Source organism: Homo sapiens, chromosome 10 (assembly GCF_000001405.40).
Source record: "Homo sapiens chromosome 10, GRCh38.p14 Primary Assembly".
Lineage (NCBI taxonomy): Eukaryota > Metazoa > Chordata > Mammalia > Primates > Hominidae > Homo > Homo sapiens.
Window position 1 is genome coordinate 88,823,069 of NC_000010.11, and position 13,762 is coordinate 88,836,830.

The following is a 13,762-nucleotide window of genomic DNA, read 5'->3' on the forward strand; positions in this document are numbered from 1 at the left end:
GTACGTAGCTTAGACCAATTGACTCTCTGTGTTGGCAAGGGCTTTAAAAGGCAATCAGTCCTAATAGTAATAGGATAACTTCATTCCTTAATGAGGATGATTAATTTTACTGTTGTTTACGTCAGAGGCAAATAATTTACTTCAACATAAGGCCTAGATTAGAAGATGCTGCTGCTAGAGGAACCTCAGACCACGGTCCACCCTCCCTTACCTTATTCTTTATTGTGGGGTCTGCACGGGCTTCCAAGAGCAGAGGGATAAGAGACTGGTTTTTCATTTCACAGGCATAATGTAATGCGGTACAGCCATACTGAAACACAAAGGGCCAAAACTTCAGCTCATAAGTCGGGCCCTCCACAGACCATAGCATGTGGCTTCATTGGCAAATCCTTTTCACACTTTGTAGTATACAACTAAGCAGAAAAATAGTCTGCAAACCATTGATAGACAACTATTTCTAGTACTTAAAAAATTTTTCGCCGGGCGCGGTGGCTCACGCCTGTAATCCCAGCACTTTGGGAGGCCGAGGCGGGCGGATCACGAGGTCAGAGGATCGAGACCGTCCTGGCTAACACGGTGAAACCCTGTCTCTACTAAAAGATACAAAAAATTAGCCGGGCGCGGTGGCGGGTGCCTGTAGTCCCAGCTACTCCGGAGGCTGAGGCAGGAGAATGGCTCGAACCCGGGAGGCGGAGCTTGCAGTGAGCCGAGATTGCGCCACTGCGCTCCAGCCTGGGCGACAGAGCGAGACTCCGTCTCAAAAAAAAAAAAAAAAAAATTTCTTCTCTGTCTCAATGTATATGTATGTTAGTGTCATATAAGCCATCAATCTCTGCCTTTTTGTTTTCCATTTTCTGTTCTAAAGAATGCAACTTAAAAAAGCTGATGCTGAATTGTGCCAAAGTTTCTTTGTCGCATGCTATATGCCTCGGTGATCATCACCTTGATCATGTCACCATCTTTCCCTTAAAGAGTCTCCACATGGCCCTTTACATAAACATTATCCTCTATGGTTTTGGTGATGATTCCTACTGAAGAAGTCGGGTGCTCTTGCTGCAGGACACCTGCAAGATCAGTGCAGTTCTACAGAGACATTTCCCAAACGTGATTTGTTATAGCTTATATTATGTGTTATAAGCTAGTGCATCTACTCTGTTGGTACTAATTTAAAACACTACAGGTCAAAAAAATTATAGCTAGGGCATTAGTGTCCAAAATTTGGCCTTTGGAAAAGTAGCCAAGCAACCATGGTGCTGGTGAGTGAAGAAATAGTACCTTTGGCTATCAAGACAGGTTTAGCTCTGGATCCCATTCCCTAGAAACACCTCTAAAATTATAGGAGATCATGTTGCAATTATTTATTTTTATTAAGTGGTGGCATGACAAATGGAAGTTCTGGCTCTGAATTTTGTCATGTGAAATAGAGTCTAATTATCCAAAAATACAAAACACTGTCTTACCTAGAAAGTAGATTTTAATACTCAGATAGTTTTTGAAAAAATTTTGGTATTAGAAGTGGTGTCTGTGTGTGTACCTGCATGTGTCTCAAACTCCTGAGTTCAAGGGATCCTCCCATCTCAGCCTTCCAAGTAGCTGGGACTACAGGCTAGTGTCACTGTGCCTAGCTGAAGGAATGCAATATCTCTATCTAGAGAGAGAAATACACATAAATTGCTGAGAAAATATCCTAGAGAAATTTTGGTCACAGGCAGGAATATTAAATCTATTGAATTTAAATGAAAAGACCAAGAAAAACCTTCAACAAACTTTTAACTTCATCTTTAATAATCTCTTACTTAATATATTTCAAAGCTATCTAAAGAAATGGTAATGCACAGTAACTGTCAATACAAATTTATCCAAAAGTTCTATTTGAAATAAAAGGGAATATAAATTTCATAAAGTTATTTTCTTTTGCTCTCTCTCTCTCTCTCTCTCTCTCTCACACACACACACACACACACACACACACACAACTGCCTGCATTTAAACATGATACCAGCATAGGCAAAACCGAAATGATGTAAATAATTGATAGAAACAGGAATGGGGCCATGGTCTCTATCATAAAACAATGGTAATACACACAGATGTGCACACACGTAAAATATGTTAGGCATCACAAATAGAATGTTAGTATTTTGGAATCAAATTTCCACTTGCCTACTTTTTCAATAAGGAACTGGGAATCCAAAATTTTATTCAATCACCATAAGCAAAACACCATAGAAATAAACTTTTGTCTTTCTGTGATCATTGAGAAAGAAAGATGAGTGCAAGAGCACAGAGGTGAAAGTGAAAACAACACCTTATGCTCATAAACAGGAAGAAGTGAGCGGATGCTGCTACTGTTGTTATCACTGCTCTTACCATCAGTGGGATTTTTCTTTGACCTTTGTCTTATTTATCTGTAGTTTGCACACGGGGCCTCTCATCAGTGGGTTGGGATTTTGGCTGCAGTGGCAGCTGTTGCCATTCAATGAGCACTTACTACATTCTGAGCATGTGCTAAGTGCTTTACATGAACAAGCCCAATGAGATAAGTATTATCCATATCCCCATTTTACCGATGAGGACACTGAAAGTAAAATAAGTTTACAACTTGCTCAAACTCATAGAAGTAAAAAGTGGCAAGCCCAGAGTTTACTCATGGGCATTCTCACTCCAGCTTCTTAACTATTATGGCTGGTATTTTGTTATCGGAGCCTTAGTTTTCCTTAACGTCTCAACAACATTAAAGCCAATTATTTTAAAAATGCTTTATAATCAATAGAGGTATTATTCCCATGAGTTCAGCAGAATATAAATAACCTCAAGGTTGCCTGTCAGTGGGAAAAAAAAGGAGAAAATAAAAGAAAACTAAATGTAAAATTGTCTAGGAAAATAAAGCAACTGTACAGATGACAAATACGCTACCTACAAATACCATTTTGAATATTTTTTCAAAATGGCTAAAAGTATAAACTTACACAATCTGTAGCATTAACTTCGACGCCAGCATCAAGTAGCATTCGTACAAGAGCCTCATTCTGCTTTGTCTTTGATACCTATTACAAATGGTAATTATAAGAAAGGCTTATTTACAAATAGTTTCTCCAATTTATGCCTGAGACTATTTAATCAATAGGCTTCATTTTAATCCCAACACTCCTATGCATGCATGCACCCTTCCTAAAATTTCCCCCAGCTTCTCACTCACTCTAATATCAATTAATTAAAGCCAGGTTCTCAGACTGTGGTCCTGAAGTAGCGGCACTGACACCTAAGAACCTTAGAAATGTACTTCTCAGGTCCCACCCCAAACCTACCTAATTCCACTGAGGATGGGGCCTAGTACCTGTCTTTCCCTTCCTGGCTCAAAGCTGTGCAATTACTTCCCATTGCTCTGAGGACAAAAGTAAACTCTTCAGCATGACCTACAAAGCCCCGTATGTTTTGGCTCCACGTATGGCCCTGCCCTGGCCTCTCTCTCACTCTGCGCCTCCTGGCTCACTCTGTTCTACTTACATTGGCCTTTGTTAATCTTTCATTCTCAGAGAATCATTGCACAGGAAGTTCCTTCTGCCTAGAAGCCTCCTCCCTCTCTTCTTTGCCTGGCATATTCACCTTTCATTCATCAGCCCAAGTCCCTCTTTCTCTAAGAAGCTTTCCCTGACCCACCTGACCAGGTGAAATCCCTCTTTTTTAGCTATCCTAACACCAGTCGCCTTTCTGTATCACCCGCTTTATGGTAATTTTACATGTGTTTGTGCCATTTGATTAATGACTCTCCCCACCACCCTCTAACTCTCATGGGGTAAAAAACTATGCCTATTTTGTTCATCATTGTGTCCCTAACAGCTAGCACAGCGTCTGGCACATAGTAGGTCCATAATAAACATACGTTAAAGAATTGAACAAATTAATGAAATGAACTAGGACTCCTCAGAAATTCACTTTTCCTTCCCAGTCTCCTGAGCTTCTGACCACAAGCCTGTTGGAGTCTTCCCCAACTTCCAGTCTCCTGAAGAGGCAAAGCTCTCCCTGCTCAGCTGGGTATAGCCCTGGAGTTCAACCCTGTCATCACCTGGGAAGCTCCATCCAGTTCTCTCTCCTTAGGCTTCCCTCTTGTGTCACCTCCTAAACTGCCTTTCTCTGCCTACTTTTCTCTGAAATAACCCAATGCTTTCCTCTCTCCTCCCCTATCATTTCCTCTCATGTCACTTATTTGTTAATTCATCACAAATTTACAACTTTAGGCCCCATTAATAAATTGCACGTGCATGAAACTAGAGTTGAGCTATTCATTACGATTACTATTTTTGCCCAGTCCTCCAGCCTCTAAACATTGAACCATCTTAGAAAGCAGAGTTGTGTGTCAATAAATTCTGAATGAGCCTTCTAATCACAGTTGTAATTTTTACCTTTAGAATCTCTAAAAATGTTTGTAAATAAATAACAGATTCTCCCTGCCCCCAAAATACATGTATTTAAATGCTATGTGCTAAATACATAATGAATTTTTAAAGAATTCTTCGAGGATATGAGCAGATTATATTTTTATTAGTGAATTAAAGTTCTTTTCTCTCTCCTATAAATCCAAATATAAAAATCAACATTGTCATGTTTAATTATAGTTCCTCAAATTCTGTGGCATTTAAATACCCAATGAAATAATAACATTTTTGACGGGCAGACTTGTTCTGCGGCTGATGTTAACAGGTGTAACCAATATTCACAGTTTATGAGCTACAACAAGGAGGGAGCTTGGTCATTTAATTAAAGTAAATTATGCATCTCTTGAGTCATGTCTGAGAAGTGGAACTGGGCACAAAGGAAACTAGATGGATAAAAGTGAGTAAGTCAGTGCAGATCTGTTACCCTATTGGGAAAAAAAACCAAAAACCATCTCAAGCTTCATCTTCTACTCCTCATATGACTGCATCTCTATACCAACTACATCTTTCTTTATTCAAGAAAATTGCTGTCTGCCAAGATTCATCCAAGCATGAAGAAATTCATCAAGGTGAAAATGGGCTTAAATTCTCAACAAGTATCTTCTGTGTGTGTCAGCTTCTGGATGCAAACTTTTAGGATCTGTTTTTCAACACACCACCAGAGGAGTACTTAAAAATCAGTAAGTCAGAAAGATAAATCCAAAAACACAAACTCCTCTTTTAAAAAAAGGAGAAAAAAATATTAGAAGGGGTGTTTTTTAATATTCAGAATTTTTTTGCTCCCTTCAGAAAAGTCTTAGTTAAGGTTAAATTATTTTTCTAAATCAACATTGCATGGATTATGTTACCATTGATTAACTATTTTTGCTAGCTTTCTTCTTGCTGTACTTCAATTATAGCATTGGATGTATGTTGAACATGTCAATTACAGAATACAAACCAAAGGCTTTTTTTGTTTTTATTTCTTTTCAACATCTCACTGGCCTGGCAAGAGTCAATGAGTCACACCATCGATCTCCACATTTGCCCTTTGCTCTACAAGTGTTGTACTCACCATGAGGAAATACCCAATAAGCAGAACAGGCATTAAGAGGATAATTAGTAGATAATCAATGAAGGTAAATTTTTTCTTCACAGCATAATGCAAGCAGGTTCTCTCTTTCTAAAAATTAAGAAAAGGATTCTTTACTAATAAAGCATTTCAATTCAAAATTTATTCAGATGGCCATCTCAAAAAGTTTAGTTTGTGCTTTTTGTTTTTCCGGTACCCATGGCATCTTTTCCTGTGGGATACATCTGATTACTGAATGCGGCTTTCCATGGAGCAGAACAGAGAACTCGGTCCAGTGTAAAGGAAAAGCTAGGGAAGGGCTCCTGGGAGTCAACAAAGGTGAAATGTACACAGCAGAGCTCATCAGAAGACAGATTCTTATACCCACTTAGTTTTTGGAAAAAAAGATACACTGAGATATAAACTTAGGACTGAATTTACTATGAAAATTGATAGTTATCCCTTAATCATCTACCATGTGTACGATTATCCATTTTGTGGTTTGTTCATAGGAAAACTCTTAACCACATGGCTGTTTTTCATGTTCCTTCATGTGCATAGTCTAGAAGAATGCATATAACTCAATTTTATTCTTCAAATATGTGAATACTTATCAGGTAATAGATGTCAGCTTCCAAGGGTTGTGGGAGATGTGAACTCTTAGGGCCTCATAATCAAAGATGGACAGAAATATGCACAAATAAATATAAGGCAAAACAGAAGGTGGTAATTGGAATACCAATCAAATCAGTAAGAGGAGAGGGAGCCCAAGAGAAAGAAAGGAGGTTAGTTTCCACTTATGCAAGGCACTGTACCTAAATAAGAACACTTTTTGTTTTTCTAATATGAAGGCATTTATATTTTCTGTAAAAAAATTTTAGAAACTAGAGAGGAACATAACGATAGAATTTTAAATTGCCCATTATTATATTAAATGGTCCAGAGTTAACTGTTGACATTTTGTTGTATTTTCTTCCAGTCTTCTTAAATGCATAAATGTGGAATTTTGAAATGTAGAATGATATTGCATATGCAATATCATATCTTGCTTTTTTCAGTTCAGAAACGTATATTTAGAATATGTACATTTTTCCATGCAATTCAATATTTTTAAACATATGATTGTAATGGCTGCATGGCTTAGTATTGAGTGGAACTACTCTGATGTATTTAGCTAAGCCCTGCCTTTTGAACATTTCATGGTTTTTGAGGGTTTTGTTTTTGTTTTTGTTTTTCTGTGAGACAGGATCTTGCTTTGCCACCTAGGCGGGAGTGCAGTGGCACAATCCTAGCTCACTGCAGCCTTGACTTCCTGGTCTCAAGCGATCCTTCAACTTCAGCCTCCAAAGTAGCTGGGACTACAAACATGTGCCACCACACCTGGATAATTTTTTACTTATTATTATTTTGTGTAGAGATGCGGGGGTCTTGCTATGTTGCCTAGGCAGGTCTTGAACTCCTGGTCTCAAACTATCCTTCCACCTTGGCCTCCCAAAATGCTGGGATTCCAGACATGAGCCACTGCACATGGCCCGTTTCAAGTTTTAAACTTTTCATTTTTATAAATAATATTGCCTGAACCTGCTCATTCATAAATTTTTGTCAACATTTCCAAATTTGTCCTTTGCCTACATTTCTAAAAATAGAATTCCTGGCATAAAAAGTATTAATGCTTTTCATATTGCGCTATCAAATTGTGTTCTAATAAGACAATAATAACTTAAACTTTCTGATCAACATTTGTTTTCTTTTTTAATCTTGGTCAGTTTGACAGACAAAAACAAGGATCTTTATGTTTTAATTTAATTTGCTATCAATAGAATCCATAGGCTTGTGCTTCTGAATCTCCAGCAGAGCTTTTTGTTTGTTTGTTTGTTTTTAAGGTGTTTGTTTGTTTAGTGTTTCTGGAAATAATTTATAAACAGATTTCAGACATGAGAAATCACAGGTTCAAATTATTAATGTACAAATATTAATATTTGGAGAAAATAAAAATATTAAATGCTAACATTAGAAACATTTGAAAGTGGAAAATGCAAACCAAAAACTTCTACTGATAAAATCTATTAATCTAATGTATCCACTAAAGTCTTTTTCATGGTTTTTATGATACCAGAAAATCCCAGCAGGCTGGCTGAGGCCCTCCTCTTCTGCAAAGCGGAGATAAAAGTGTCTCCTCAGCCTTGCCCATGGGCTAACGTCTCCTCCCTCAGTTTCCTAACGAGCGCACCTCTTAAAAGAGCGCAGGAACCCACAGACATCTGTCTTCTGGCACTACCACTCACTGCAACTCCACATATCTGGTTTCACAGCAGTGATCTACAGAGATCCTATTATAGTCCACGATGTTGCATATCTGTTCCATTCAGCACAGGCATGACTTGCTTTTAATCGCAACCAAACCAAAAATAGTAAGCATAAATAAAAAAGTCCAGTAATGATCAATTTTCTGATAATACATTGTTACTCCTGATGAGCTAGTCTCCAAATGACTTAGAAGGGGCAAGGGGGGATTTCCAGTGTTTTCTCGCCTTGAATGCATATAAGTGGGTACAGGACAGTCATAATGATTGCAAAAAAATGGCTTAATATTTATTCAGTGTAATTTAAATATTGCCTTCACTACGATGCAAATGCTAGATGTTCAGAAAGGGCTCCACAAGGATTTTCACAGCAATACACACATATTCTTCTCTTTCTTGGTCCTGAAGGCTCCAAAGTAGCTAATATTGCATCTTTAAATATATTCTTTACACCTTTTTGTGTGACTTCAAGTAACCTCTGGCTCATGAGCTTATTTGTCCTTGGTAAATTTCTCAATAGTACTCTTTCATTCTACAAGAACACTATAGGATCCTCTGGAGATCAGGACATTAATATAGCAGGTAAAAATCTAACTAATGAAACAGCATTTCTTTTCCAAGAAATCTTTGCCATTGCTTCTGTGTTAGTAATGAGAAAGAGGGGAGAGGAAGAAAGAGGAGGATGAAGAGAGGAAGAAGGAAAAGAAAGAAGCTCTATCCAGCCAAATAAGTGAACCAGAGGTAAAAAGACATAATTTATCACAAATTATGCCTGCTGATTGAACTATGTTTTATTTTGCTGTTTAGCCTAATAAAATGTCCTTGGTATGTGTCAGTCTTTCTAAAGTAGGCTAAGATAATTGTTCGTATTAGGAGCTGCAAGCAATTTAAAAAATGACATGCACCACTTCTAGTGATTCAAAGAGAAAAGAATTATCATGAACAATTACACTCTCCATTCATGTCATGACCTCACCTGGTTTTTGAGGTTGACATTAGCATTTCTTCTTAAAAGGAAGGAAACGATTCTCACATGCCCTCGCCTGCAAGCACAGATCAGGGGCGTGTCTCCATTAAAGCCATCTTGAACGTTGGCATAGCTGCTGTCTTCTTTCACCCACCGCCACACTTGTCCAAAGTCATTCTGATAGGCTGCTTGGCAGATGGGCTGGGTCGGGAAAAACAAAAGCAGGTTTTGAAATACTGGCATAATTAAACCACAAAAACGAAAAAAAAGTCATAACCCAATACATTAAAATTTAAATGTTTTAAAATTGTAATATATTGCTTTGCAGGTGAGATTTTTTGGTCTCAGTTATGCCTAGCTTTAAGTCTAGATCAAGAATTAGCCCATGAGGAACCTCCTACATTTTCCTAAGTTTTCTTGGCACACACTTATGTCCATCAAATGGATGAATAAATAAATGAAATACTACAAATTCAACTCAGTAAGGAAACTATGTATAGTGCTTACAGGTAGGTGGGCCTGTCGGAAAAGCATTCATTTTCTTTACTAAAGATAAAATACCTTTATCTTTATCTTTACTAAAGACAAAATACCTTTATCTTTATCTTTACTAAAGACAAAATACCTTTATCTTTATCTTTACTAAAGATAAAATATCTTTATCTTTAGTAAAGACAAAATGTCTTTATCTTTATCTTTACTAAAGATAAAATGTCTTTATCTTTATCTTTACTAAAGATAAAATAGAAAACAAGCATATGGGGAGGAGTTTAGGGCAGTACTAGTGATGAAATAAGACCTACATAGCACCCTGTATTCAAGGAGCTCAACAGAGCAGAAAAGACAGTTTTTTAGGCAAATAATATACAAATTATATGGTTAACTACACTTGATTAGATGCTGTTTATAAAAAGCATTATACAGAGCTTCACAAGGCACCATGGGAGTTTAATAGCAAGACTTCAGGTAGCATGATCTTGTCCTCTTTCCCTCCTCTGCTCCAGCCTTTCTCGACTTCTGTTCTTCAAAGTTTGGTTGAACCAAACCATGTTTGGTACCTTCCATCTGGGCTTCTGCCCTGAATACTCTCTCTGCATAAAACACACCACCTGCCTTTCTTCTGAATAACACCTAGCTCACCCTTCATGTCATAATTTAATTTTCATTTTATCCAAGAAGTCTTTTCTTACTCCCAACATTCAGTATCTCTCCCTCACAGCAACTGACATACTGTAATTCTTTTCTTAATTATGTACAATCATGTATTTAGGGCTAGCATGAATCAGGAGAGGTTTGAGGCAGTGCTGAGAAGGAAGGCACTGAAGTTCAGGCCGTAAACCCCATTTTATTTACTGCTATTTCTCCAGCATTCAACACAGCACTCAGCACATGGGAGGCAAACACTGAATATTTTTAGACTAATCTTCAGATGATGTCTTTTAAAAAGCATTTAGAGTAATACCTGGCATATGGATGGTGCTTAGTGTATGAAAGTTATCATTATTGCAATTGTCATTCTTTAATAATCAAGTCAAATCCCTGCTGTGTGCCAGTCACAGGTACCAGAGAATAAAATATGTTATCTTATCCATGTAAAATGTATCTGTCAAGTGGGGAAATAGGACAGAGACACACATACACAGAGTAAATGACAAGAAAAAAATTTTTTGGTATGGGTAGGTACATAAGCACCTGTGGAAACTGGGACGTATCAAGGGGAAAGTCAAGTGGGTGTATTTGCTAATAAACTGAGGTTCTAACATAGCCAAATATCACAATAAGTGAACTATGTTATACTCTTAAACCTAAAGGCCTACTCATGAAAGAAACATCCTAACAGAAAATTAACTCAGCAGCAATTAAAGGCAAACTTCTGTACCTTAAAAATGAAATGAACATGATACATGGGCTTTAAGTTTCACTAGAAATGCACAATTTCACAAATCACCTATTCTGTTATCCTGAAGTCTTCCCTTTACTAAGCTTTCCAACAGTTGGGCACTTCAGTGTCTCAGCATACTGTGTGGCTGATGCAGAAAGGACTGGGGCAGTTGAAACACTTGTCTCATGTCAGAAAAACAGGATGTAATTGTGGCTCTGTTACTACCTCCCCCGGTGACTGTGGACAATTCACTTCCCTACTGTATCTCAGTGTCCTCAGTCATTAAATGAAGGAGTAAGGCAGAAGTTCCCTTGGGTTTTCATATTCGATTATTTCTGGGACTCTAGTCTCAACCAACAAATCTTCCACATCACTGCTGGAGTCCAGGGTTATGTCAACACAATAGTGCTTAAATAAAACCTTCAGTGACTTGCCATTGTCCTAGCAGCAATGCCCAGTCATTTGGAGTTCAAAAATAAGTAAAACAAAACTAAATGCAACAAGACAGTGTTAAGTCACCAACTCTTAATTTTTCAATTAAATGTATTTAAAACAATACTATTATTTCATAAAAGATATTTTAACAAATACAAAGATAAATGAAGGGTATTTTAACAAAATATGTAAGAATATAATCACCAGGGGGAAAGCAGTTCTTTATATTGGGTAGATTTAGTTAGCTTTATAGAAAAATTCATTTTATTGTCCTTTTAAAAGATTTTACCATAAACTAGTGAAAATTTAATAATGGAGTGATTAGCAGTGAGCACTACTCATCAAGCATTTGGAAATTGGTGGTCTACCATGAATAGCTTGGAAACAAGTGGCTTTAGAGCTCTTTTTCTCTTTTCTCAAATATTTAAATAACTTAACAACATTTAAAAAACTAGAATATTTCATGTATTAATCTGGCTTTCCAGCTTCTCTTTAAAAATGGAAAGTTTTGGCTGGGCGCGATGGCTTACGCCTGTAATCCTAGCACTTTGGGAGGCCGAGGTGGGTGGATCACCTGAGGTCAGGAGTTCGAGATCAGCCTGGCCAACATGGAGAAACCCCATCCCTATTAAAAATACAAAAATAAAAAAATTAGCAGGGCATGGTGTCTGGTGCCTATAATCCCAGCTACTCTGGAGGCTGAGACAGGAGAATCGCTTGATTCGGCAGTGAGCCGAAATCGCGCCACTTCATTCCAGCCTGGGCGACACAGCGAAACTCTGCCTCAAAAAAAGAAAAAAAAAGAAAGAAAAAAAAGAGAAAGTTTTGCTAACACTGGGCCCATATTCCTGTAGGATACCAAATAACTGGTGCTTAGTGGCAGTGACTCCAATTCTCCACAGTCCCCACCACTCGCCATCACATTACACTGGTTCTCTTCACTCATCTATGTTACCTGCCTGGTAACATAGACCTCCAGGAGCTCTCTGCTTAGGCTTCTCAAAGTCTTTACTAAGAGCTAACTAAAAAGAAGAAGAGGAAAAGATGGGGAGTTGTTCTGCAAGAGTCACTCAGTGCTTTTGAGGGCTTTCTCAACCCCATTTGAGCAATATTATGTAAAATACTAACCCTATCTTTAGTCTTTCTTAGGCTTCCTAGATCCAAGACACAGAGTTACCAGGAAGCTAAGTGTCTTCCTTCTCGGCTGAGATGCACAAGTACAGTCATACTTCACTTCACAACAGGGATACGTTCTGAGAAATGTGTTGTTAGGTGATTTTGTCATTGTGGGAACATCACAGAGTTTACTTACACAAACCTAGATGGTAGAGCCTATTACTAATATGGTATAGCCTGTGGCTTCTAGGCTAAAAACCTATACAGCATGTTACTGTACAGAATACTATAGGCAGTTGTAACACAATTGTAAGTATTTGTGCATCTAAACATAGGTGAACATATAAAAATATACAGTAAAAATATAGCGTAAAAGATAAAATGGTACACCTGTATAGGGCAGCTCCATTATAATCTTATAGGAACACTGCTGTATATGCTGTTCATTGCTGATCGTGACATCATGTGGTGCATGACTATAATTTAATGTGAGAGTCGCACTAACGCTGAAGACTCCATGCTGTTATGAACTTGCGGTTTCCACTAGGGGGCAGCGCAGCGTAAGAAAAGCACTGACAGCGGGCAGAAGGGAAGTCCAATAGAAAGTGCTGGTTCACAAGCCAGGTATGAAAAAGAGAAGAGGTTGTCCATTTGGGTTGCTGGAAAAGCTATCATAAACCCCTTTTAACCCCTTAAGCTCTGTAATTTGGGGGCACCCTGGGTGTAGAAGAAACACACTTGGGAAATTATTATAATAACTCTATCCCCTAATAGTCTCAGAACCCTTCTGTCCATCCTCACTGCTAAAGTACTGCTTCAGATCTTCATCATTCTCACCAAGACTATTGCACACAATTCTTTCAATCTCACGTGTTCCATATGCCGTTTTTACAACTTCATCTCCTACCACTGTCTTATCCACACCCTTGATCTAAATAAAGGTATGTGTGTTATTAACAGCCATCTCCCCAGCTAGACTGTAAGCTATATAAGGGCACTGTGACTACATGAGGCTACATTTTGTCTGTACTGATTCATCATTGTACCCCCATAACATAGTGCCTGGCACATGGTAGGCATTCAATATGTACTTAGTGAGTAAATAAGAGAAGGAAGAAATTATAAGATGAGCTAACAGTTATTGAGTAGCTCAGTTATTCTATATTAATCCTCACAACAACCCTCTAAAGTAGTATTAATATACCTGTTTTGCACAGATGAAACTAAGGGAAATTGTTTTCCTTGCCCAAAGTGACATAGTTCACAACTGGCATGGCCAAGAGTCAAATCAAGGGGAATGACTGCAGAATGCGTACATTCTATCTCCAATCACTTTAGTCTTAAAAATCAGCCTTCAAAATGTCTTCTGGCTACAAGACTTCGCATTTGATATTTGTGTCCAAAATTAAGCTACAGTCTGTATTCGGGATATTGATCTGTCCACTTGTGGCACTGACTTGCTGGTTATACTGGTTATACATCCAGACTCCTTCTCCAACCTGACCTAGAATCAGCAATATCCACCAAGAGATAAGAAGTGTCATCAGAGAGTCTGCAGAAGAAACAGAAAAA

The 13,762-nt window shown here is 38.0% G+C and overlaps 1 protein-coding gene across 1 annotated transcript in view, besides 2 other annotated features; it reads right to left on the bottom strand.

Annotated features, from left to right (window-relative positions):
- The window catches only part of ANKRD22 (ankyrin repeat domain 22), a 31,949-nt gene that overhangs the window by 3,173 nt on the left and 15,014 nt on the right, over positions 1–13,762 (bottom strand). Inside the window, exons 2-5 of the mRNA NM_144590.3 lie at positions 8,767–8,958; positions 5,491–5,598; positions 2,970–3,047; positions 212–310 (exon numbers count right to left, since the gene is read on the bottom strand). Coding sequence (NP_653191.2) covers positions 212–310; positions 2,970–3,047; positions 5,491–5,598; positions 8,767–8,958 — 477 coding nt within the window. The remainder of the gene's footprint in view (positions 1–211; positions 311–2,969; positions 3,048–5,490; positions 5,599–8,766; positions 8,959–13,762) is intronic.
- Positions 2,267–2,356: an enhancer, noted in NCBI's record as "active region_3725". NCBI's record gives its function as "activates an Ori minimal core promoter by ATAC-STARR-seq in GM12878 lymphoblastoid cells {active_cell/tissue: GM12878}" and the evidence as "EXISTENCE:reporter gene assay evidence [ECO:0000049][PMID:35858748]".
- Positions 12,882–13,031: an enhancer, noted in NCBI's record as "active region_3726". NCBI's record gives its function as "activates an Ori minimal core promoter by ATAC-STARR-seq in GM12878 lymphoblastoid cells {active_cell/tissue: GM12878}" and the evidence as "EXISTENCE:reporter gene assay evidence [ECO:0000049][PMID:35858748]".